The sequence below is a fragment of the Homo sapiens genome, chromosome 1 (assembly GCF_000001405.40).
Source record: "Homo sapiens chromosome 1, GRCh38.p14 Primary Assembly".
Taxonomy (NCBI): domain Eukaryota; kingdom Metazoa; phylum Chordata; class Mammalia; order Primates; family Hominidae; genus Homo; species Homo sapiens.
The window spans coordinates 66,414,557-66,440,358 of record NC_000001.11 but is presented as its reverse complement, the minus strand read 5'-3'; the positions used below and the strand labels follow the sequence as shown (position 1 = coordinate 66,440,358).

At 41.4% G+C, this 25,802-nt stretch overlaps 1 long non-coding RNA gene across 1 annotated transcript; it reads right to left on the bottom strand.

The window, feature by feature from the left end:
* Positions 1–705: 705 nt before the first annotated feature.
* LOC105378776 (uncharacterized) lies at positions 706–23,820 on the bottom strand. Its single transcript, XR_947467.2, has 3 exons — positions 23,763–23,820; positions 23,299–23,411; positions 706–919 (listed from the first exon to the last, which is right to left on the bottom strand). It is a non-coding gene; the product is annotated as an uncharacterized LOC105378776 (long non-coding RNA).
* Positions 23,821–25,802: the final 1,982 nt, after the last annotated feature.

Below are 25,802 nucleotides of genomic sequence, written 5' to 3'. Positions count from 1 at the left end.
AGATACCACCACTCACCTATTATGGCTAAAAATAGAAAAAACTGAAAATATCAAATATTGCAAACATACAGAGTTTAGTGCTAGTACAGAACCTGCAGCCAGTTCTCCAAACACATTTCTAATTTTCTGTCTTTTGTCTAAACACCCACATACCTAATTAGTGAATTCAAGTCTCAGGTAAATGCAATTAAAGGAGACCTGAGGATGTGGTCCTCTGCCTTTCAAGTAGGGAATGCTGAACAATTGAGGAACTTCAGAGACTGGGAAGTTTTGAGAGTTTAATGCACATTGAAGTTTCAGAGGGCTCCCAACATGGATCAGGATTTAGGGGGTTCCTAACTGAATTATATGTGAGGCTGCCCCAGGAAGAAGATAGAAAGGAAGATGCATTGAGATACATATCAACAGGACATATTTTCTTCCCTGGACTCTCAGTCTCCATGGTAGTTCAAATATTCATCATGAATGGAAGTTTGATATTATAACTCCAGTGTCTGTTAGGAAGAAGAAAGAAATTAAAGGGGGAACAGCTACTGTGTCATGGAGAAACACCAGATGTGTGTACCTGGTGAGAATGACTCAAAAGTGCCAGGAAAAATTTCAGGTAGCATTTTCAAACAATCAGGATAATAAATCAAGTATTTCAAAACACAATGACTTAAGCTGTTGTTTCTGGTTAATAACAACACCACAATTCAGCAAGACTGTAAATAATGATGATTTTACTTAAGCAATTGTATTTTTAGCTAGAGAAGTACACATTCAGCATTGAAATCATGGAAGTGAGAATTTGGAATTATGAATTGTTCTGGACGTAGTTCCTCTCTTGCCCTAGCACTCTTCAGCTTTCTTCCTTGGTCAAAATTGCAAGGCTGTCTTGAACAGTCCTTTTAACCATCTGGTGCTTCAGCTTTCTCCTCTGCAAAATAGAAAAAAAACTTTGTACTATTTGTTTACAAAGAGCATACTAGGTTTCTAATATGTATTTCTTAAATAAATTGATGGTTTGTTTTTGCCAGCATTAAAGCGCTATCCAGGTCACGCTGATGACCATAATCTTCCAGGGCCTCTAAACCCTGCAAAGGATGTAAACTAGTTCCTGATTCCAACTGTAAAACCCAACTTCCTCATTTCAGTATAAATGATACATTAACAATGAGTCAATACCATGAAAGTGTGCATTTCCTAATACTGACATGCTTTTCAAAATTTCTCAGTGCTTTTTCTTTCATTTTAAGTTGGGGAAAAATCAGCAGCCCTCTCGTCACTACTACTCTTTTATATGAGCAAAATGAGGCTCTAATGACTGAATAACTTGCTTAATTTTATATAACAAAGACCCTAGATCTATTGATCTTTCTTCTATCCAGGTACATTTATTAATAGAATTGCCAATCCTCTGTTAAGTCCTAGGACAAATAAAAGTGTCTGATGCTCCATTAAACCTGCTCTTGGTACCAGATGGTAGATGTGAACCTGTTGTAAAAATTGACTGAAGGAGTGGTAGGAGTCGTATTGATAAAGGAGTATGGCTGTCCAGACTGGTTTAATCCCTAGTCACTTGAATCATCCTGACGTGTTAAAAAACAAAACAAAACAACCAAGAGGATGAGTGCATCAGAGAGGAAGGATATGGAAGATTTGTTTAGTCTTAGAAGTAGCACATTAATGCCAAACAATAGGATGACTTCGACTCCGAAATAAATTTGAAGGAATTTGAATTCCCCTTTCGAATTCGAACGGGAAGGAGAAGGGAATGATTTGAAAAGATTTTCAGTGCAAATCTCTGCCTTTTGGGCCACCCATCCCAGCCAGGCTAGTCATGGTGAGATCCAGAGTTGGGGCTAGAGGAAGGGGCGTTGTTGAAAAATAACATGAGTCACAATCCAATGGAACAAAAATGTCATTTCTAGAATATGATATTTAAAAAAAATAAAATGGGAGAAGAAGATGCTCACCTGGGTGTACTAACTTTGTAGCCATAAAAGTTACACAACTGCTGCTTTGAAATGCATACCATCTCAAGGAGGCCTATAGGAAGTCCTGCCCCACATTTTGCTTGCCTACAGGGTCTGCTATTATAGATGCAGTTAGGAGATTAGAGCTGGCCATTTCTGGCCACATCCGTTATTGCCAACCACTATGAGAACATTTATAATTCTGAATCAGGATATAAGAATGAGACAGGCTCTAGAACACAGTTTCTATCTTTGGCACTATTGACATTTTGGGTCTGATAATTCTTTTTATGGAGAATTTTCCTGTGCATTGTAGGGTATTTAGCAGCATTCCTGGCCTCTGCCTGTTAAACACCATAAGTAGCTCCCCAATGGTGACAAACAGAAGATGTCTTCAAATATTGTCAAATGCCCTTTGGGAAGCAAAATCATCCCCAGTTGAGAACCACTGCCCTAAAACACTGTAGGCAATCTTTGTCACATCTTCCACACATAGAAAAACTTTTTGTTTTGTACAAATGTTTTCTCTACAAAACCTGGAGGGTGATCTGGGAATAGCTCAACAAAGTTCAGTGAAAAAAATTGTCACTCTTTATATTTATATCCTTATAGGAAAAATAAAATACAAGATGTTTAGAAAAATATCAAATATTAAATTTATATAAAGGTTCCAAATAAAATAATTTTAAAAAATTAGAAATTTGAACTTATTACCATTGACATATCTTTTTACCAACAGATACCATATTCAAAATAGCTATGCAAAACTCTGAGTAAGACTTCTTAATGATGATTGTTTCAAATTCCTAGTGGTGTGTATCAACAAGAACCTTCATTCCCACAATAAGATAATTTAAAAAATTAAAACCATTGTTTACAACTATTTGAAGATTTGCAACATTTGAAATTAAAGAACCTAATAGCTTATCCTTTTCTTATACTGACAAGTTAATGTTTAATTTTTTATGATAGAGCAAAGGTACTTTAAATTCAGACTTTTATGCTATCTAGCATTCCAAAATAATAACGAAGGTCTAATTTGTATATTGCATATGCATTGTAAGAGCAGTTGCCCTACAGCTAGCATGGAAACCACTAAATGGACTTTTTTGTCCATCTGCTGAAGATGAACAGGAGTATCTGATATATGTGAAAACAGATTCTGGGCTATCACGTGTTGCTGGGCAGACCAGAAATCCCCACCATGTTTCTGCACTCACTCATCCCCACTGGCCACATCTTGGGCTAAGCTCTAAGCTTCTGGGCAGCTGGACACAAACTACCTACTGATCCTCAGGCCTTACCTAGAATGGTCTGCGGTGCTAACTGCTAGGATGGATGGCTGCTGAGATGCCCATGCAGTAGAACACCTACCTTCTTGGCTGTGTGCATTCAGGGCATTATAGTGGAGAAATGCATGGTAAATGTGACTCATGGTGCCCACTGCCTCCTCTAGGGACTATGAGGGTGGTCCTTGGACTCCTACACTGCTCAGACCAGTCCCCAAGAAGACTCTGATGAGGCTTCTCTTGGCTAGAGGCACATTCTGAGAGCTGAGGAACGCAGTAATTCATAGCACACCTATAATCCGTTTGTGGCACACCAGTGTGATACTACATATAAGCTAGGAAGCTCTGCCTTAAAGAATTCTGCCTAGCCCTAAGGCACCCTGTGGCCCAAAGAGAGGCATGACTCACCTCAGATCACACCCTCAGTTAATACCAGAGCTGGAACCAGCAGCTAACTCTCTGGCTCCAGGCACCACAATCATGTCGATTCTTCATTTCATGCCTTTCTTCCTCCCACTGATGCATTCACCACAAACTCCTCATGTGCCTCACCTACTAATCAAAAACATTGGCTGGTCCAGCACCTACCACAAGGGGAGCAGTGTTTCTTAAGCTCTGTGGTGCATAAGAATAGAACTTTAAAAATATGTATATTTAACTGCTGTGTGTTTGTGGAGAAAGTTGAAGCAGGAAGAGGGAAGAGTGAAGCTTTATTATGGGAAGCACAAGTAGAATTTCCATTCTACTCCATCTAATTTCGCTGGCTGAGTACTAGGCTGAATACTAGATCTTGGTGAGCTTAAAAGAGATCTAGAAACCCAAAGCTACAAATATGGAAGAGTTTGAAAAGCAGGCTATTTTATCTATAAAAATAGAAGTGATTTCAGATGCTAGAAGGGAGTGTGCAGTGGTTTCTAAATTCTAGTGGACATGAGAATTTCACCAAGAACTTATTTGACTTACTTATACAAGTAATTATAAATCAGTTGATCTGGATCAAAGCCCACAGATCTGTGTTTTAACAAGCATTCTGAGATTATCTGATTGAGAATTGCTGAAATAGGAATAAGACCTTATAGCTTTAATGCACCGTATAATGTGGACATTGCAAGAAGCTAAGAGGAAAATAAATTTTTTAATTAAAAAATTCTAATTTCTCTAGGGCAATTCCTAGAATATAAATATTGTAAATTATTTCCTAAAACCAAACCAAAAAAAAAAACAAAATTTCTCTCTGCTCTTCTCCTCCACTTTCAGTCTATTCTGAAGCTAGGAGAAGGGCTGTCTTATGTTTGTCCTTAAATGAATGCAGGCCATTTATATAAAAACCACATCATAAGTGGAATAACCAAGTCACAAGCTTTCCTGGTCGTGTAAGTCTTTGACCTTTTGCTGTGCACCCCAGGCCCAAATACCAGTGCAATTCCCCTTGTTTTGATCAGCCTGATTAGACACATTTGTGCTAGGCTCTGCACCTCATAAAAGGCAAGGTAGATAGTATTATTTTAAAAAAAACAGGATAGAGATAGTGTGCTAGTAACAGCTTTTATGAATTGATGCTTGGAGCACCTCTCTCCAGTTGTGAGAGAGCCATGACCCCAAGATACAATATGGTAGAGCCCAGAATGTGGTCCCAGAAATGGGCTTATAAACACATCTGACCCAGAGTTAATAATTTTCTTCTCAAGGTCGTTTTAAATAAATCTTATATGTATGTGTGTTACGCACTATGCTGTATATGTGGGGTGTCTGTGTGTGTGTGCATGTGTGTGTGTGTGACTGATTACTACTGCTTTACTACTGGGAAAAGGGAACATTAAGGGTTCCTAGCATCCATGTCAAGTACTGTGGTGAATATTCATATTTATTTTCTTATTTGAGCCTCATAAAAGCTTTGTAAGGAAGATAGAGGTGATATTATTCAATGGAGATTTATATATTTAACATATCATATAACTTTGAACAGGTTATTAAACTCTTCTGAGCTTCTGGGGTTTTTTTAACCCATAAAATAAGGAGATTGGCATAACCAATCTCATGGTAACAAGATATCATAATCAACTTGTTCCAAATCACAAAGCTAGAAAAGGACTTGAACCCAGATCTTCTTTCTCCAGCATATAATCTTCTAAATGGCACTGCTTATCAAGAAGGACAACACAGCTGGGCATGGCGGCTCACGCCTGTAATCCCAGCACTTTGGGAGGCCAAGGTGGGTGGATCACCTGAGGTCAGGAGTTCAAGACCAGCCTGGCCAATGTGGTAAAACCCTGTCTCTACTAAAAATACAAAAATTAGCTGAGTGTGGTGGCAGGCGCCTGTAATCCCAGCTACTTGGGAGGCTGAGGCAGGAGAATCGCTTGAACTTGGGAGGCAGAGGTTGCAGTAAGCCAAGAGTATACCATTACACCATTGCCCTCCAGCCTGGGCAACAGGAGCGAAACTCCATCTCAAAAAAAAAAAAAAAAAAAAAAAAAAAAGGACAACACTAAGAAGAGCTAACTCTAACTGGAAACTCACAAATTTTGTTCAATCCAGGGAAATAAAGTCCAGAAATGCTCCCTGCACTGCTGTCCCTCTGAAGAGCCATGATAGACTATGTGGCCCAAACACCTTTCTGGGCCATGTGCCAGGGCTGTCCTGAGGAAGTCCTATGGCCTTGGATATTCCCATAAAGCTACATACTCAGAGTCTGAGTGTCAGGATGTGGTGGGAGTACCAGGTCGGCAGTAGCAGCCTTCCTACAGGATGGTCCTGCTCAGCCACAGAAGGTAAACACGAGTCTGCTGGAATTTTAAGGCAACCACATCTGCATCCAATAAGCCTTAGAGACAGTCTTTTTGTCTCATTTCTTTGAGGATGATGAAATGTTGCCCTTCTTGCAACACCCAATCATCAGTTATAAATCTTGCACATGGCAGAACAAGTCAAACTGCAAATTAGAAGACCCCATCCTAGTCCTAAATAATTGTGTGATCTTGGGAAAGTCATTTGACCTCTTAACTGCACAAAGAGAATTTGCCGGCTTGATTTCTCCTGAGTGTTGTGTGTCTTCACTACCATGCCCTTTGCTCAAATTCTGTTTTTCCTAATACACTCCCCATACCCTTCTCTACCCATTGTCTAAATTCCATTCTTTTTTTAAGCCCAGCTTTTCAAGTTCACTTCCTTTGTGACAGTCTTTTCTGATCATTCCTCTTGACCATGATCTCTTCTTTATACCTATCACTGTAGTCTGGCATACAGAATGACAGTTTCAACTTTTCTGCCTTTGTGGAGTGCTCATCTTGGAATCAACATTAACTCCCAGTGACATCACATGGTGTCTCTTAGTGGTTTTACATTTCTATATCCCCCACAAGGCTTTGTACAGAGTAAGTATTTAATGTAGATTAACTGCATAATCTTTTCTCACAGAAAGCCTTTACTGGTTAAATAACAAAACTGGTATGCACTTGGATGAGCTGATTAGCTTCTGACATTTTCTCTGTTTGCAAAATAGAAGAATCAAAACAGGATACTCCTCATCCCAGGATGTTTCAAGAAACAGTCTTTTAAAATGAATAATTGTTGACTAAGAAACAAAATGCACAGGTGCATCTGCCTGCTTAGATTAAGAATGCTTCCTTTAAGTAATAATGTTATTTTCCCTCTGTGAGGGATTTCCTGACATCCTCAGACAAACTTGTTTTTAGCAATAATATTTATTGAATATTACAAAAAATTGGGCACTCTATTAAGTACTTAGTGTACACTATTTTATTTCATGTTCACAACCACCCTATGCATAACTCATTATTAACCTTATTTTATAGATGGGGAAATTGAAGCTTAAGGGATTAAATAATTTAGTAAAAATCACCAGCTAGCCTCAGAGCCTGAATCTGTGTGTAGGTGATTCTGACTCCAAAGCCTATGCATTTAGTTATTGCATTATTTTACTTTGCTGTAGATGACTTAACATCATACAGCCTTTTAGTTGTTGCTTGCTTGCTGGTCATTTGAGAATTCTGTCAGTTCTTTGGAAGGGAGTATAATATATTTTCTTTATGTCTAATTAGACATAAAGAATTTGTGTCATAATTAGAAAAGAATTATGTATAATTCTTTTCTAATATGTCTTTAGTGTCTGGCACAGAGTAGGTGGTCAATGAAAGCTAAAGGAATGCAGACAGAAAGGGAAAATAAGAATGAAAGAAACTACAATAAGCCTTGAGCTAGGTAACTGTAACAAGGGCTAATAAGCACCACAAAAAATATAAAAGGCAGAGGATGAAGGGAGCCTCTCCTGCTGTTAAGAAAGACCAATGGCAGGGTTGGAAAAAAAGGCAGATAGGAGGCAGGACTAACTTGCAGCTCCCACTTGGATGGACAGAGCAGCATATGGAGACTCACATCATGAACTTTTGCTCCAAGAACTACTGCAGGAACATACCAGGAAAGCCAAGTGAATCCACGGACCCTTTGAAGGAAGTGGGTTGCCACTGCATGCTCCAAGAGACACCTGAAGAACTGTGAGTGCCCAAAGTTTGCAATGGAGTTCTTCTGCCCCCAAACATGCACCTTCACTGGGGAACCTGAAGGTCCAAATCGTGGAAGAGGAATTTGACCTTACCTGGTACTGAGACAAATTTAGAGAGCCAAGTGAAATATAGGGGTAGAAGAAACAGCGGGAAGAGCACTGTGGGTGCTCTCAGTCCCCAGGGAAGCCATTTCTAACTTTATCTCACAGGGGTCCTTGGGGAGGGCTGCCAGAGGAACTGGGAAAAGACTACAGGGAGAAGGAAACTTCTAGCTGAAGTGCATAACAATTTTGACTGAATGTGAAGTTTTCCTGAACAGAACCCTGGGGGAGGCGGAAATTGGAGTGCAGACTCAGCACAGAAACTGCCACAGGCAGGGAGGCACAAAACCTGAAAGCCCTACTTGCTTTCTCAGCAAGGAGGCTGGCAGCCTGGGGTAAGTTCCCAGCCCTGCTTACCAGCTGCCTGGAAATAAACTTGGTGTTACTAGGGGGCATGGTGAGAGTGAGACCAGCCTTTTGGGCTGCATGGGAGCTGCGTGAGGACTGCAACTAACTGCTGGCTTTCCCCCACTTGCCTGGTGACTTGCATGATGCAGCAGAGGCAGCCATAATCTCCCTGGAAACATAAATCCATTGGCCTGAGAATAACAACCCCATCCCTCACAGCAGCTGCAGCAAGCCCTGAACAAAGAGAGTCTGAGCTCAGACAGACATGCTTAACCCTGCCCACACCTGATGGTCTTTCTCTACCTGCCCTGGTAGCCAAAGACAAAGGACATAATCTCTTGGGAGCTCTATGATCCCACCCACCACCTGATCCTTTCTATACTACTGCAGCTGATGCTTTCTTGAAAACACCATCTCCTGGCTGGAGCCCAACCAACACAAAACTAATTCAATAAACAAATCTACAACCAAGGACCCTCACAGAGTCCACTTTACTCCCCTACCACCTCCATCAGAACAGATGCTGATATCAGTGGCTGAGAGACCTGAAGATGATTCACAGGGCCCTGTGCAGACAGCCCCTCATAAGAGCCAGAAGGCTGGTAGCCCCACTGGGTGGCTAGATCCAGGGGAGAAATAACAATCACTATAGTTCAGCTCTCAGGGAGCTATATCTCTACAGGAAGGGGGAGAGCACCATATCAAGGGAGAACCCTGTGGGATGAAAAGAGTCTGACAGCAACTCTTGAGCCCCAGCTCTTCCCTCTGACATAGTCTACCCAAATGAGAAAAACAAAACAAAACAAAACAAAAAAAAAACAGAAAAACAATCCTGGACATATGACAAAAATGTTTTATTAACACCCCCAAAAGACCACACTAGCTCACCAGCAACAGATTCAAACCAAGAAGAAATCTCTGAATCGCCAGAAAAAGAATTCAAAAGGTCAATTATTAAGCTAATCAAGGAGGCACCAGAGAAATTTGAAGTCCCAGTTAAGGAACTAAAAAATAATAATAATACAATACATGAAGGGAAAAATCTTCAGTGAAATAGCATAATTAAAAAACAATCACAACTTCTGGAAATGAAGGACACACTTAGAGAAATGCAAAATACACTAGAAAGTCTCAGCAATAGAATCAAATAAGTAGAAGAAAGAACTTCAGAGCTCAAAGACAAGGCTTTCAAATTAACTCAATCCAACAAAGATAAAGAAAAAAGAATAAAAGAAAATGAACAAAGCCTCCAAGAAGTTTGGGATTATGTTAAATGATGAAACCTAAGAATAATTGATGTTTCCAAGGAAGAAGATAAATCTAAAAGTTTGGAAAATATATTTGAGATAATAATTGAGGGAAACCTCTCCAGCCTTGCTAGAGATCTAGACTTCCAAATACAAGAAGCTCAAAGGACACCTGGGAAATTTATCACAAAAGATCATTACCTAGGCACATAGTCATCAAGTTATGTAAAGTCAAGACAAAGTAAAGAATCTTAAGAACTGTGAGGCAAAAGCATCAGGTAATCTACAAAGGAAAACCTATGAGATTAACAGAAGATTTCTCAGCAATAACTCTACAAGCTAGGAGGGATTGGGGTCCTATCTTTAGCCTCCTTAAACAAAATAATTATCAGCCAAAAATTTTGTATCCAGCAAAACTATGCTTCATAAATGAAGGAAAGATAAAGTCTTCTTCAGACAAACAAATGCTGAGAGAATTTGCCTCTACCAAGCCAGCACTACCACAACTGCTAAAAGGAGCTCTAAATCTTGAAACTAATCTTCAAAACACACCAGAATAGAAACTCCTTAAAGCATAAATCTCACAGGACCAATAAAACAAAAATATAATAAATTTTAAAAAACCCAAGGTATTCAGGCAAAAATGGCATGATGAATAGAATAGTACCTCACATCTCAATATGAACATTGAATATAAATGGCCTAAATGCTGCACTTAAAAGGTACAGAATGGCAGAATGGATAAGAATTCACTAACCAAGTATCTGCTGTCTTTACAAGACTCACCTAACACATAAGGACTCACATAAACTTAAGGAAAAGGGATGGAAAAAGATATTCCATGCAAATGGACACCAAAAGTGAGGAGGAATAGCTATTCTTATATCAGATAAAAACAAACTTTAAAGCAACAGCAGTTAGAAAAAACAAAGAAGGGCATTATATATAATGATAAATGAACTTGCCCAACAGGAAAATATCGCAATCCTAAATATACATACACCTAATACTGGAGCTGCCACATTTATAAAACAATTACCACTAGACCTAAGAAATAAGATAGACAGCAACACAATAATAGTGGGGGACTTTAATACTCTGACAACACTAGATAGGTAATCAAGACAGAAGTCAACACAAAGAAACAATGAATTTAAATATACCCTAGAACAAATGGACTTAACAGATATTTACAGAACATTCTACCCAACAACTGCAGAATACACATTCTATTCATCAGCACATGGAACATTCTCCAAGATAGACCATATGGTAGGCCACAAAACAAGTCTCAATACATTTAAGAAAATTGAAATTATATCAAGTCCTCACTCAGATCACAGTGGAATACAACTGGAAATGAACTCCAAAAAGAAACCTCAAAACCATGCAAATACATGGAAATTAAATAACCTGCTCTTGAATGATCATTGGATCAACAATGAAATCAAGATGGAAATTAACAAATTCTTTTAATTGAATGATAATGGAAGCACAACCTATCAAAACCTCTGGGATACCACAAAGGTGGTGCTGAGAGGAAAGTCTGAAAGAGCACAAATAGGCAATCTAAGGTCATACCTTAAGGAACAAGAGAAGCAAGAACAAACCAAACCCAAACCCAGCAGAAGAAAATAAATAATAAAGATCAGAGCAGAACTAAATAAAATTGAAACAAAAAAAATACCAAAGGCAAATGAAACAAAAATCTGGTTCTTGGAAAAGATAAATAAAATTGATAGACCATTAGCAAGATTAACCAAGAAAAGAAGAGAGAAGATCCAAATAAATGTAATTAGAAATGAAATGGGAGCTATTATAACTGATGCCACAGAAATACAAAAGATGATTCAAGACTACTATGAACACCTTTATGCACATAAACTAGAAAACCTAGAGGAGATGGATAAATTCCTGGAAATATACAACTCTCCTGTATTAAACCAGGAAGAAATAGAAACTCTGAACAGACCTATAACAAGCAGCAATACTGAAATGGTAATTTTAAAAATTGCCAACAAAAAAAAAGTTCAGGACCAGGCAGATTCACAGCTGAATTCTGACAGGTATCCAAAGAACCATTGATACCAATCTTATTGACACTATTCCACAAGACAGAGAAAGAATCCTTCCTAAATAATTCTATGAAGCCAGGATCACCTTAATACCAAAACCAGGAAAAAACATGACAAAAAAGAAAATAACAGACCAATATCACTGATGAACATAGATGCAAAAATCCTTAACAAAATACTAGCTAACTGAATCCAACAGCATATCAGAAAGATAATCCACCATGATCAAGTGGGTTTCATACCAGGGATACAGGGATGGTTTAACATATGCAAGTCAATAAATGTGATACACCACATAAACAGAATTAAAAACAAAAATTACATGATCATCTCAATAGATGCAGAAAAAGCATTTGACATTATCTAGCATCCCTTTATGGTTAAAACCCTCAGCAAAACCTACATCAAAGGTACATACCTTAAGGTAATAAAAGCCATCTATGACAAACCCACAGCCAAAATTACACTGAATGGGGAAAAGTTGAAACCATTTCCCCTGAGAACTGGAACCAAAGATGCCCACTCTCACCATTTCTATTCAACATAGTACTGGAAATCCTAGCCAGAGTAATAAGACAAGAGAAAGAAATAAGGGCATCTGAGTTGATAAAGAGGAAGTTAAACTGTCGCTGTTTGCTGATGATATGATCATATTCCTAGAAAACTCTAAAGACTACTCCCAACAGCTCCTAGAGCTGATTAATGAATTCAGCAAAGTTTCAGAATACAAAATTAATGTATACAAATCAGTAGCTCTGCTATACACCAACAGCAACCAAGCTGAGAATCAAATAAACTCAAACACTTTTATAATAGTTTAAAAAAATAAAATACCTAGGAATCTATCTAACCAAGGAGGTGAAAGACATATGTTGGTGAAAGACCACTATGTTGGTTACTGATGAGGGGCTTGTATAGGTCAAGGATACTGACCTAAACCATTTCATAGCTCAGATGATCCATATGTCACCTGTGTTCTTAGCTGAAAACACAGAATCCACCCTTACTAGGTTAAACAGAAAAGAAATTTAATAAGGATCTTAGGAAGTGCATGGAATTCCAAGGACGGCCAAAGATTCAGGCTCAAAATCCCCTTGTGGAGGAGGTGTCCACACCACTGCCACTGCTGGAAACAAATACCTCAGCTCATACCAATGATGCTAGACCAGGGAAGCCTGAATCTCAGCCAATACTATACCCCAAAACTGGAAATCTCCTTTGTTAAAATTGGAGTCCCTAGGGTGCCTGCATCATCGCACTGCTCTCTTCCTGATCAAAGAACAAGAGATTGCTTGGTGAAGCACAGCTTTATCCATTGACATCCACACTTTGAGACCTGAAACTATAAAACTACTAGAAGAAAACATATGGGAAAAGCTCTGCAACATTGTCTGGGTAATGATTTTTGGATATGGATCCAAAAGCACAGGCAATGAAAGCAAAGATAGACAAGAGATTACATCAAACTTCTGCACAGCAAAAGAAACAATTAGGCCGGGCGCGGTGGCTCACGCCTGTAATCCCAGCACTTTGGGAGGCCGAGGAGGGCGGATCATGAGGTCAGGAGATCGAGACCATCCTGGCTAACACAGTGAAACCCCATCTCTACTTAAAAAAAAAAAAAAAAAAAAAAATTAGCTGGGCATGGTGGTGGGCGCCTGTAGTCCCAGCTACTTGGGAGGCTGAGGCAGGAGAATGGCGTGAACCCGGGAGGCGGAGCTTGCAGTGAGCCGAGATCCCGCCACTGCACTCCAGCCTGGGCGACAGAGCGAGACTCCGTCTCAAAAAAAAAAAAAAAAAAAAAAAAAGAAACAATTAATAAAACTGAAGAGACAGCCCACAGAGTGGGAAAAATATTTACAAATCATACATCTGATAAGGGGTTAATATCCAAAATATGTGAAGAACTCAAACAACTCAATAGGAAGAAAACAAATAGCCTGATTTAACAATGGGCAAAGGACTTGAACAGACACTTTTCAAAAGAAGACATACAAATGGCTGGCAGGTTTGTGAAAAAATGCTCAGCATCACTAATCATTTGGGGAAATTCAAATTAAAACCAGAATGAGATATTGCCTCACACCAATGAGAATGACTTTTATCAAGAAGATGAAAGACAAGTGTTACCAAGGATGTGGAGAAAAGAGACAATCTTGGTGGGAATGTAAATTAGTACAGCTGTGTCTGGAGTTGGTTCCTTCTGGTGGGTTCATGGTCTTGTTAACTTCAAGAATGGAGCCACAGACCTTTGTGGTGAGTGTTACAGCTCTTAAAGATGGCACGGACCCAAAGAGTGAGCAGCAGCAAGATTTATTGTGAAGAGTGAAAGAACAAAGCTTCCACAGTGTGGAAGGGAACCTGAGCAGGTTGCCAGATGTCTGTCACTCCCCAGGGCAGCATTGTCATCTTGGGGTCTTGTCCACGATATCACCACACAGTGATATGCTTTCACTTGCTATTCTGTCCTATTTTTCTTTAGAATTCAAGGGCTAAACACTAGGCACCTGTCAGCTGCCGGACTAAAGACACGGGTGTCAGGCTTTCTGGGAAAGGGCTCTCTAACAACCTTTAACTCTTTGGAGTCAGAAGCGTTGGTTTGTGTGGAACCAGCTTCCACTTTTCCTGCACTTCTGGGCTGAGCCAAGGGTCAACAGAGAGGAAAGCCATTCAGCTCCAGGGTCCCAACAAAAAGTTAGTTGACCCTGCAGCCATGAGCAGAACTCTCAAAGTTACGTTGTCTAAGTGAGACTCACCCATCTTTCCTATCTACCCTGACTCTTGCCTCCTGGGTCCTAATGCCTGTCAGACAAAATTCCTCCCACCTCTCTTCTCAGAGGCTAGTCCCACTTCTAAAAAACCACTCCCTGTCCCTGGTGCTCTTCTAGTTTCTCCTATAAGAATGATTTCTAGTATAAATTTTGGGACTCTGTTCCCTTCTTTAGGCACCTGGGCTCACCAATCTAAAGGACGTAATTTTTGCCCAAAACCCCGTTGGTGGGGGACTATCTGGAATTTCAGGATCTCTCCTTAGACTAGAAGGTGTGGGGAAAAGCAAGAGAGATCAGATTGTTACTGTGTCTGTGTAGAAAGAAGTAGACATAGGAGACTCCATTTTGTTATGTACTAAGAAAAATTCTTCTGCCTTGAGATTCTGTGACCTTACCCCCAACCCCGTGCTCTCTGAAACATGTGCTGTGTCAACTCAGAGTTGAATGGATTAAGGGCGGTGCAAGATGTGCTTTGTTAAACAGATGCTTGAAGGCAGCATGCTCCTTAAGAGTCATCACTACTCCCTAATCTCAAGTACCCAGGGACACAAAAACTGCAGAAGGCCGCAGGGACCTCTGCCTAGGAAAGCCAGGTATTGTCCAAGGTTTCTCCCCATGTGATAGTCTGAAATATGGCCTCATGGGAAGGGAAAGACCTGACCGTCCCCCAGCCCGACATCCGTAAAGGGTCTGTGCTGAGGAGGATTAGTAAAAGAGGAAGGAATGCCTCTTGCAGTTGAGACAAGAGGAAGGCATCTGTCTCCTGCCTGTCCCTGGGCAATGGAATGTCTCCGTATAAAACCCGATTGTATGGTCCATCTACTGAGATAGGGAAAAACCGCCTTAGGGCTGGAGGTGGGACCTGCGGGCAGCAATGCTGCTTTGTAAAGCATTGAGATGTTTATGTGTATGCATATCTAAAAGCACAGCACTTAATCCTTTACATTGTCTATGATGCAAAGACCTTTGTTCATGTGTTTGTCTGCTGACCCTCTCCCCACAATTGTCTTGTGACCCTGACACATCCCCCTCTTCGAGAAACACCCACAAATGATCAATAAATACTAAGGGAACTCAGAGGCTGGCGGGATCCTCCATATGCTGAACGCTGGTTCCCCGGGTCCCCTTATTTCTTTCTCTATACTTTGTCTCTGTGTCTTTTTCTTTTCCAAATCTCTCATCCCACCTTACGAGAAACACCCACAGGTGTAGAGGGGCAACCCACCCCTACAGAAGGCCTAACAAAGGCTATTCCTGAAGCTAGGATATTGAGAGCCTCAGAAATTTTAACCTTCCCATTGATATGATGAGAAGTGAGAACAAAAGGCCTCACTCTTCCAACCTTAGTTATCCCTTCCCTCCCTCAGGGTATGGCCCTCCACTCCATTTTGAGGCATATCATCTTCATAGGACAAGGGTAAGGTCCCATTACTAACAGGAGAATTGTTAGGACTCTAACAGGTTTTTGAGAATGCAATGGTAATGGCCACTAAATCCGATTTTTCTTTGTCCTCTTTGTGTCCTAAGAGGAAAGGCAAGGGTGCAGATTTTCGAGAATGCATTGATAAGGGCCACTAAATCCGACATTCCTTGGTCCTCTTTGTGGTCTCTGAGGAAAACTAGTGTTTCCTCTGCTGCTTCAGTGAGTGCAACTGTTCCGAACAGCAGGGTCCAGGGACCATTGCAGGTTCTTGGGCAGGGGGAAAAACAAACAAGCAAACCAAAACTGTAGGCAGTTTTTTCTTTCAGATGGGAAACACTCAGGCATCAACAGGCTCACCCTTGAAATGCATCCTAAGCCTTTGGGATCAATTTGATCCACAAACCCTGAAAAATAAGCAGCTTATTTTTTTTCTGCACTACAGCCTGGCCCCAGTATTCTCTGATGGGGAAAAATGGCCACCTCAGGGAAGCATAAATTAGGTACTATGAAGGAGAATCCACAACTATGCAAAGCTTGCAATTTATATCCTACAGGAGGACCTCTCAGCTTACTTCCATATCCTTGCCTCCCTACAGCTCCCCATCCTATTAATGATAAACTTCCTCTAATCTCCCCCACCCAGAAGGGAACAAGCAAAGAAATCTCCAAGGGATCACAAAACCCCCCAGGCTATCACTTATGTGCCCTTCAAGCTGTAGGGGGAGGGTAATTTGGCCCAACCCAGGTACATGTCCCCTTCTCCTTCTCTGATTTAAAGCAGATCAAGGTAGACCTGGGGACATTTTCAGATTATCCTGATAGGTATACAGATGTCCTAAAGGGTCTAGGGAAAACCTTCGGCCTCATTTGGAGAGATGTCATGCTATTGTTAGATCAAACCCTGGCCTTTAATGAAAAGAATGTGACTTTAGCTCCAGCCCGAGTTTGGAGATACCTTGTATCTTAGTCAAGTAAATGATAGAATGACAGCTGAAGAAAGGGACAAATTCCCTACTAGTTAGCAAGTTGTCCCCAGTATGGATTCCAGCTGGGACCTAGACTCAGATCATGGGGACTAGAGTGAAAAACATCTGTTGACTTGTGTCCTAGAAGGACTAAGGAGAATTAGAAAAAAAAACCCATGAATTATTCAGTGATGTCCACCATAACTCAGGGAAAGCAAGAAAATCCTTCTGCCTTCCTTGAGTGGCTATGGGAGGCCTTAAGAAAATAAACTTCCCTGTCACCCGACTTTGTCAAGGGTCAATTGATCCTCAAAGAGCCCTGGCCCTGAACAAAATCTGGAAGCATTATTAAACCTGGCAACCTCGGTGTTCTGTAACAGGGACCAAGAGGAACAGGCTGAAAAGGAAAAGTGAGTTCAGAGAAAGGCCACAGCCTTAGTCGTGGCCCTCAGACAAACAAACCATGGTGGTTCAGAGAGGACAGAAATGGAGCAGGCCAATCACTTGGTAGGGCTGGTTATCAGTGTGGTTTGCAAGGACACCTTAAAAAAGATTGTCCGATGAAAAACGAGCTGCCCCCTCACCCAAGTCCACTATGCCAAGGCAATCACTGGAAGGCACACTGCAGAGTACAAAGGTTCTGTGGGCCAGATGATCCAACAATATGACTGAGGGTGCCCAGGGCAAGCTCCAGCTCATGTCATCACCCTCACTGAGCCCTGTGTATGTTTAATCATTGAGGGCCAGGAAATTGATGTCCTCCTGGACACTGGTGCAGCCTTCTCAGTGTTAATCTCCTACCCCGGACGACTGTCTTCAAGGTCCATTACCATCTGAGGGATCCTGGGACAGCCTGTAACCAGGTGTTTCTCCCACCTCCTCAGTTGTAATTGGGAGACTTTGCTCTTTTCACATGCCTTTCTTGTTATGCCTGAAAGTCTCACACCCTTATTAGGGAGGGACATATTAGCCAAAGCTGGAGCTATTATCTACATGAATATGGGGGACAAGATACCCATTTGTTGTCCCCTATTTGAGGAGGGAATCAACCCTGAAGTCTGGGCATTGAAAGGACAATTTTGAAGGGCAAAAAATGTCCACCCAGTCCAAATCAGGCTAAAAGACCCCACCACTTTTCCTTATCAAAGGCAATATCCCTTAAGGCCTGAAGCTTATAAAGGATTACAGGATATTATTAGACATTTAAAAGCTCAAGTCTTAGTAAGAAAATGCAACAGTCACTGCAACACCCCAATTCTAGGAGTACAAAAACTGAATGGTCAGTGGAGACTAGTGCAAGATCTTAGACTCATCAATGAGGCAGTAATTCCTCTATATCCAGCTGTACCCAACCCCTATACCCTGCCCTCTCAAATATCAGAGGAAGCAGAATGGTTCACTGTTCTGGATCTCAAGGATACCTTCTTCTGCAGTGTCTTGCACTCTGACTCCCAGTTTCTCTTTGCCTTTGAGGATCCCGCAGAACACCCATCCAAACTTACATGGACGGTCTTGCCTCAAGGGTTTAGGGATAGCCCTCATCCGTTTGGTCAGGCACTGGCCTAAGATCTAGGCCACTTCTCAAGTCCAGGCATTCTGATGCTTCGGTATGTGGATGATTTACTTTTGTCTACCAGTTCAGAAGCCTCATACCAGCAGGCTACTCTAGATCTCTTGAACTTTCTAGCTAATGAAGGGTACAAGAGGTCTCAATCAAAGGCCCAGCTCTGCCTACAACAAGTCAAATATCTAGGCATAATCTTAGCCAGAGGAGCCAGGGCCTTCAGCAAGGAAGGAATACAGCCTATACTGGCTTATCCTTGCCCTAAGACATTAAAACATTTGTGGGGGTTCCTTGGAATCACTGGCTTTTGCCTACTATAGATCCCCCGATACAGTGAGATGGTCAGGCCTTAAGTAAGGAAATTGATGTAGTAGCAAAAGGCTGGCCTCACTGTTTATGAGTAGTTGCAGTGGTGGCCATTTTAGTATCAGAGGCTATCAAAATAATACAAGGAAAGGATCTAACTGTCTGGACTACTCATGACGTAAATGGCATACTAGGTGCCAAAGGAAGTTTATGGCTATCAGACAATGGCCTGCTTAGATACCAGGCACTACTCCTTGAGGGACTAGTGCTTCAAATACGCATGTGTGCAGCCCTCAACCCTGCCACTTTTTTCCCAGAGGATGGGGAACCAATCGAGCATGACTGCCAACAAATTGTAGCCCAGACTTATGCCACCTGAGAGGATCTTTTAGAAGTCCCCTTAGTTAATCCTGACTTTAACCTATATATTGATGGAAGTTCATTTGTGGAGAATGGGAAACAAAGGGCAGGTTATGCCGTAGTTAGTGATGTAACAGTACTTGAAAGTAAGCCTCTTCCCCCAGGGACCAGTGCCCAGTTAGCAGAACTAGTAGTGCTTACCTGAGCCTTAGAACTGGGAAAGGGAAAAAGAATAAATGTGTATACAGATAGCATGTATGCTTATCTAATCCTACATGCTCATGCTGCAATGTGGAAAGAAAGGGAGTTCCTAACCTCTGGGGGAACCCCCATTAAATACCACATGGAAATCATGGAGTTATTGCATGCAGTGCAAAAACCCAAGGAGGTAGCAGTCTTACACTGCCAAAGCCATCAGAAAGGTGAAGGAGAAAAGGCAGAAGGAAACCATCGGGCAGACGCTGAGGCCAAAATTGCTGCCAAGCAGAACTTCCCATTAGAAATACCTATGGAAGGACACTTGGTATGGAACAACCCTCTCCAAGAGATTAAGCCCCAGTATTCCCCAATTGAAAAAAAATGGGGACTTTCACGGGGGCATAGTTTTCTCCCCTCAGGGTGGTTAATGACAGAAGAGGGAAAGGTACTCATACCCGAAGTCAGCCAGTGGAAAATACTTAAGCCCCTCCACCAAACTATTCATATGGGTATTGAGAACACTCATCAAATGGCTAAATCCCTGTTTACAGGGCCAAATCTCCTCTGGACCATCCGACAAGTAGTCAAAGCCTGTGAGGTGTCAAAGGAATAATCCCTTGGTCTATCTTAAGGCCCCTCTGGGAAAACAAAGAATAGGGCACTATCCCGGAGAGGACTGGCAGTTAGACTTCACCCATATGCCTAAGTCAAGGGGATTTCAATACTTGTTGATCTGTGTTGATACCTTTACAAATTGGATAGAAGCCTTCCCCTGCAAGACAGAGAAGTCTCAGGAAGTGGTTAGAGTCCTAATTTATGAAATAATTTCTAGATTTGAACTTCCCTAAAGCTTACGAAGCAACAACAGTCCAGCTTTTAAAGCCACAATAACCCAGGGAATTTCCAGGGTGCTAGGGATACAATATCACGTTCACTGCACCTGGAGGCCACAATCCTCAGGGAAGGTTGAGAAGGCAAATGAAACATCAAGAGGCACCTAAGGAAACTAACTCAAGAAACTCATCTCCCATGGCCTATTCTTTTCCCCATGGCCTTGTTGAGAATCCGAAATTCTCCTCAAGAAATGGGGTTCAGTCCACATGAAATGCTGTATGGATGACCTTTTCTCACAAATGACCTCCTACTTGATCAGAAAATGGCCAACTTGGTCAAAGATATAACTTCTTTGGCAAAATATCAACAAAACTTAAATCCTATGTGAAGGATGTCACAGAGAACAGGAAACGGTGTTATTTCAACCAGGAGATCTAGTGTTGTTTGAATCCCTCCCCTCTATCTCCCTATCTATGGATTCTTTGTGGGAAGGACCATACTCGGTAATCCTCTCTACCCCCACTGCAGTTAAGGTGGCAGGAGTGGAATCTTGGATTCACCACACCGATTTAAGCTTTGGACACCCCCTGAAGAACCTGCGGGACCGAGAGCTCAGGAGTCCCATTATCAGCCAGACCAGCCTCGATACACCTGTGAGCCATTGGAGGACTTGTGTCTTCTATTTTGGAAAGAAAAATCCCAGACTAAAAAGACTCCTACAGCCGATCCTGAAGAAAAACCCCTTCCTACTTAAAAAAGATAAGTGAAAACCTACATAATCTTTAACACCTCTCCTTGCCCCTTTAATGGAATCCTTTTACTGTTTCATCACATTATTAACCAGGATACTAGCTGTACTCTTTGCAGTAGGACTATATACTGTAGCTCCAGGATGAAATCCTAATCACATCAACCTTTCTTCTATCATCCTTCCTTCTGACAGCAATTTACTCCTACCATTAACTCAGACTGGATAAAATGATCTCATCTTTCAGGGCACCCTCTTTACCTTCCTACTTACTCTTTGCCTATCTATCCCTCCTGCCTACTTGGATACCCCACATAGTTGCCCCTCCCCTTCCACTAGCTCCTAGTTACCTCTACAAGACTCTAAACTTAACCCACTCTCTGTTAAACCAGTCCAGTCCTTCCCTGGCAAATGACTGTTGGCTTTGCATCTCTCTATCAGGCATGCTTACGTTGCCACTCCTGTTCCTGCAAAAAACTGGGTCTTTACCAACTTAACCTACCATCCCTCTTATGAAGGAAAAGACCCTTTCCAAATTCCAAATATGCAATCATTAGCCAACTTCCCCATCTCTGATAGGACCTAGAATACCCTAACAGGATGCACAATCCAACTTTTACACTCTTACATTTCCAACCTCACCTATTACATGAGCAATGAAAAGCCCATACACAGCCCTGCAACTACAAATACCATCTTAACTTTCCAAGCCCTTTTATGCATCCAATGCGACCTGTTATTAGGCCTGCCCCTGGGGCATCTACTATCCCATCAGTGTAATTACATTCTACAACTTCAAGCCCCATCTGATCATAGTAACTTCCGAGTCACCCAAACAGCTCCATTCAGACAGCTTGCCTTCTTCTCAGGGCCTCCAAAAATTATCACCTCCTCCCTGCTTAATAAACAGTCCAGGTTTTTTAATGGCAAACATACTCCCTGCATGACCATTCACCCTGGACCCCCTGCAGCAGCGCTCCCACCACTAATGAATGCCTTCTCATCCCCTCTTTCAATCACTCCCTTGAATGGTTCCTAGTAGATACAAAATGGTTTTTTTCTCCAATGGGAAAATAGAACACAGGGAGCCACTCAATTTGCTCCCAACACCCCTTTTCAGCTGCTCTGGAGCTACCTTGGCAAGTACTCTAGGAGTATGGGAAAATGAAAACAACAAACTCACACACCTTTTCAACATACACAACCTGTTCTGTCTACCCAGCCAAGGCATATTCTTCTTACATGGAACTTCAACCTATATCTGCCTCCCCACCAACTGGACAGGCACTTGTACCTTAATCTTCCTAAGTCCCAACATTCACAATGCCCCAGGAAATCAGAACCTATCAGTGCCCCTCAAAGCTCAAGTCTGTCAGTGCAGGGCCATACAAGTAATACCCCTACTTATAGGTTTAGGGATGGCCACTACTACAGGAACCAGAGTAGCAGGTTTGTCCACTTCGCTATCCTACTACCACACATTCTCAAAGGATTTCTCAGACAGTTTGCAAGAAATAACTAAATCTATCCTTACTCTACAATCCCAAATAGACTCTTTGGCAGCAGACTCTTTGACTCTCCAAAACTGCTGAGGCCTAGACTTCCTCATGGCTGAGAAAGGAGGACTCTGCACCTTTTTAGGTGAAGAGTGTTGTTTTTACACTAACCAGTCAGGGAGAGTATGAGACGCTGCCTGGCATTTACAGGAAAAGGCTTCTGAAATCAGACAATGCCTTTCAGACTCTTATACCAACCTCTGGAGTTGGGTGACATGGCTTCTCCCTTTTCTAGGTCCTGTGACAGCCATTTTGCTATTACTCGCCTTCAGGCCCTGTATTTTTTACCTGCTTGTCAAATTTGTTACCTCCAGGATTGAGGCCATCAAGCTACAGATGGTCTTACAAATGGAACCCCAAATGAGCTCAACTCACAACTTCTACCGAGGACCCCTGGACTGACCCAGTGGCCCTTTGACTGGCCTAGAGAGTTCCCCTCTGGAGGACACTACAATTGCAGGGCCCCTTCTTCACCCCTATCCATCAGGAAGTAGCTAGAGTGGTCATCGCCCAATTCCCAGCAGCAGTTGGAGTGTCCTGTTTAGAGGGGGGATTGAGAGGTAAAGCCAGCTGGACTTCTTGGGTTGATTGGGGACTTGGAGAATTTTCTGTCTTACAAGAGGATTGTAAAATGCACCAATCAGCACTCTGTAGCTAGGATTGTAAAATGCACCAATCAGTGCTCTGTAGATAGCAAGGGGGTTGTAAAATGCACCAATCAGCACTCTGTAAAATGCACCAATCAGCACTCTGTAAAATGCACCAATCAGAGCTCTGTAAAATGCACCAATCAGCAGGAGCCTAAAAGTAGCCAATCACAGGGAGGATTGAAAAAAGGGCACTCTGATATGACAGAAATGGAACATGGGAGGGGACAAATAAGGGAATAAAAGCTGGTCATCCCAGCCAGCAGTGGCAACCTTCTTGGGTCCCTTTACATGCTGTGGAAGCTCTGTTTTTCGCTGTTCACAATAAATCTTGCTGCTCCTCACTCTTTGGGTCCGTGTCACCTTTAAAAGCTGTAACACTTACCACGAACGTCTGCAGCTTCATTCTTGAAGTCAGCGAGACCACGAACCCACCGGCAGGAACAAACTCCAGACTCACAGCCATTATGGGAAACTGAATGGAAGTTCCTCAAAAAACTAAAAATAGAACTATCATATGTCAGTCAAACCCTCTTCTGGGTATTAGTCCAAAAGAATTGAAATCAATATGTCCAAAGGATATCTGGACTCCTATGTTCATGGCAGTGCTGTCCACAATAGCCAAGATGTGGAATCAACTTGTGTCCATCAACAGATGAATAGATAAAGAAAATGTGGTACATGTAGACAATGGAATACTATTCAGTCTTAAAAAAGAAGAAAATCTTGTCATTTGTGACAATGTGGATGAACGTGGAGAATATTGTGCAAAGTTAAATAAGCTAGGCACAGAAAAGCAAATACTGCATGATCTCACTTTTATGCGGAATCTAAAAAAGTTGTACTCACAGAAGTAGAGAGTAGAATGATGGCTACCAGAGGCTGGGTGAGGAGGTGGGGAGAAGAGGGAGGGAATGGGGAGTTGCCGGTCATAGGGTAAAAAGTTTCAGTTAGACAGGAGGATTAGTTTTGCAATCTATTGCACAATAGGCTGACTATAGTCAATAATAATGTATATTTCAAAACAACTGAGGGAATAAATTTCAAATGTTTCCTAACAAAAAATAAGTGAGGTGATAGATATCTTAATCAGCTTGATTTAATTATTCCATATTGTATACATATATAAAAATATCACATTGTGCCCCATAAAGTTATATAAAATTATGGTTTGTCAATGAAACACAATACTAATTATGTTTACATACATAAATGTACATATATGCCCACATGCACAAACACACACACACAAAAGAGCACAGTGAATAAAAGGGGGAAATGCTTGCAAATGAGTTCAGAGAGATAGGGGCCAGGCTGTATACAACCTTCAAGCCACTCCCTTATTTAAGTTTTGTTCAATACAAAGGCAGCATTGGAATGTTTTGAGCAAGGAAATTCCATGATCTGATTTAGTTTTAACTAGATTGCTATGGCTGTTGTGTGGCGAGTGGGGCAAGATTAGAAATAGGGAAGTTGTATAGGAGGCTATGTTAACACTAGAAAAGGAGAGAGAAGAGTTGGTCTGGAATGATAGTATTGGGGATGGCAAGAAGTGGCTGAACTTGGGTTGGAGCAGATAGGTTTCCTAATGTATTTGAAGAGGGAAGGGTAAGAAAACTGACTTAAGCATCTGGGTAAATGGAGATATCATTTCTCGAGATGCAAAAGACATGGGCAGGAAAAGCTTTGGAGGAAAAGTCCAGACTCATGGTACTTTGGATCTGGACACTTGGAGTTGCTTACCAGACATCTGAGTGAACATGCTCAGAGGCATTGGATGTAGGAGTTGGAATTTCAGGAAAGAGGTCAGGACCAGAAGTATACACTTGGGTGACATGAGTATACAGATCATGTTTCAAGTCTTAAGACTAGATGGGATCACCCCAGTTTGAATTCTATAAATATTTGCTAAATATTGAGTAAATCTTTAAGGATAGAGATTGGTTTGACACAGGTCTGACTCAAAACCTTAAGACATGTAAACTACACTACTCAGCTGTATGACCTTGGGCATGTACTTTGTTCTTTCTGAACTTCAGGACAGGAAGAGGAAACAACTTTACTTCGGTACAGAGAGAGAGGTTGAAAAGGACAGAGCCATTAAGGAAAAAAGAACTGGAAGGACGATGCTAGATGGGGCAAAAACCATGCAAAAGAGAGGCCTGTATGGGGAAGGGGAAGAAGAGGACAAGAGCCTCCACAGTTCTCGGCTGGGCCTCTTCTCATCTTCTGTGCTCATGCACTGCTATTTGCATTCTTAACATCACCCTCTCTGCCCACTGAACGCTTTCCTTGGTTTTTGTTGACCACATTTTCTGGAATTACTCATGAAACACACTTTATAAGTCTTCTTGGGAGAAATTTATTTCTATTTGGTATCAGGAATAGCTATCTTTTCTTGAGAAACTTAAAACAAATCCTAAGAAATCTAGGAATCCCATAACTTCTATCAGACTTGTGTGTGTGTGTGTGTGTGTGTGTGTGTGTCAATGCTGGGAAGCTTAGGGCTGCTTGAATGGCATTTTTACATGAGCTTCATTTCAATTCTATCTTATGCCCCAATCATGTTTATCTTTTTTACTTATATGGGCTTCTTTTTTATATTTCTTTGAGATCTTTAAGTATTTCTGGCAGTGGCATTAACTCCTATATGGAGTGACACAGAAATAAATAACAAACAAATGCAGCATCTGAAAGAATCTTCATTCCAAATTATCTTTTCCATCGCCATTATAAACCCACCTGTTGCACTTGTTGGATATGTGACTCAACTTCTTGTTGAGAAATTATGTTCTAAGGTGACTTTCCATTAAGAGACTGTGCCCCAAGTTTCTGCTGTTTCCTTTTTCCAAAGTAAAGAGTAAATGAGCTTGGTTCTCCTTCCTCCGG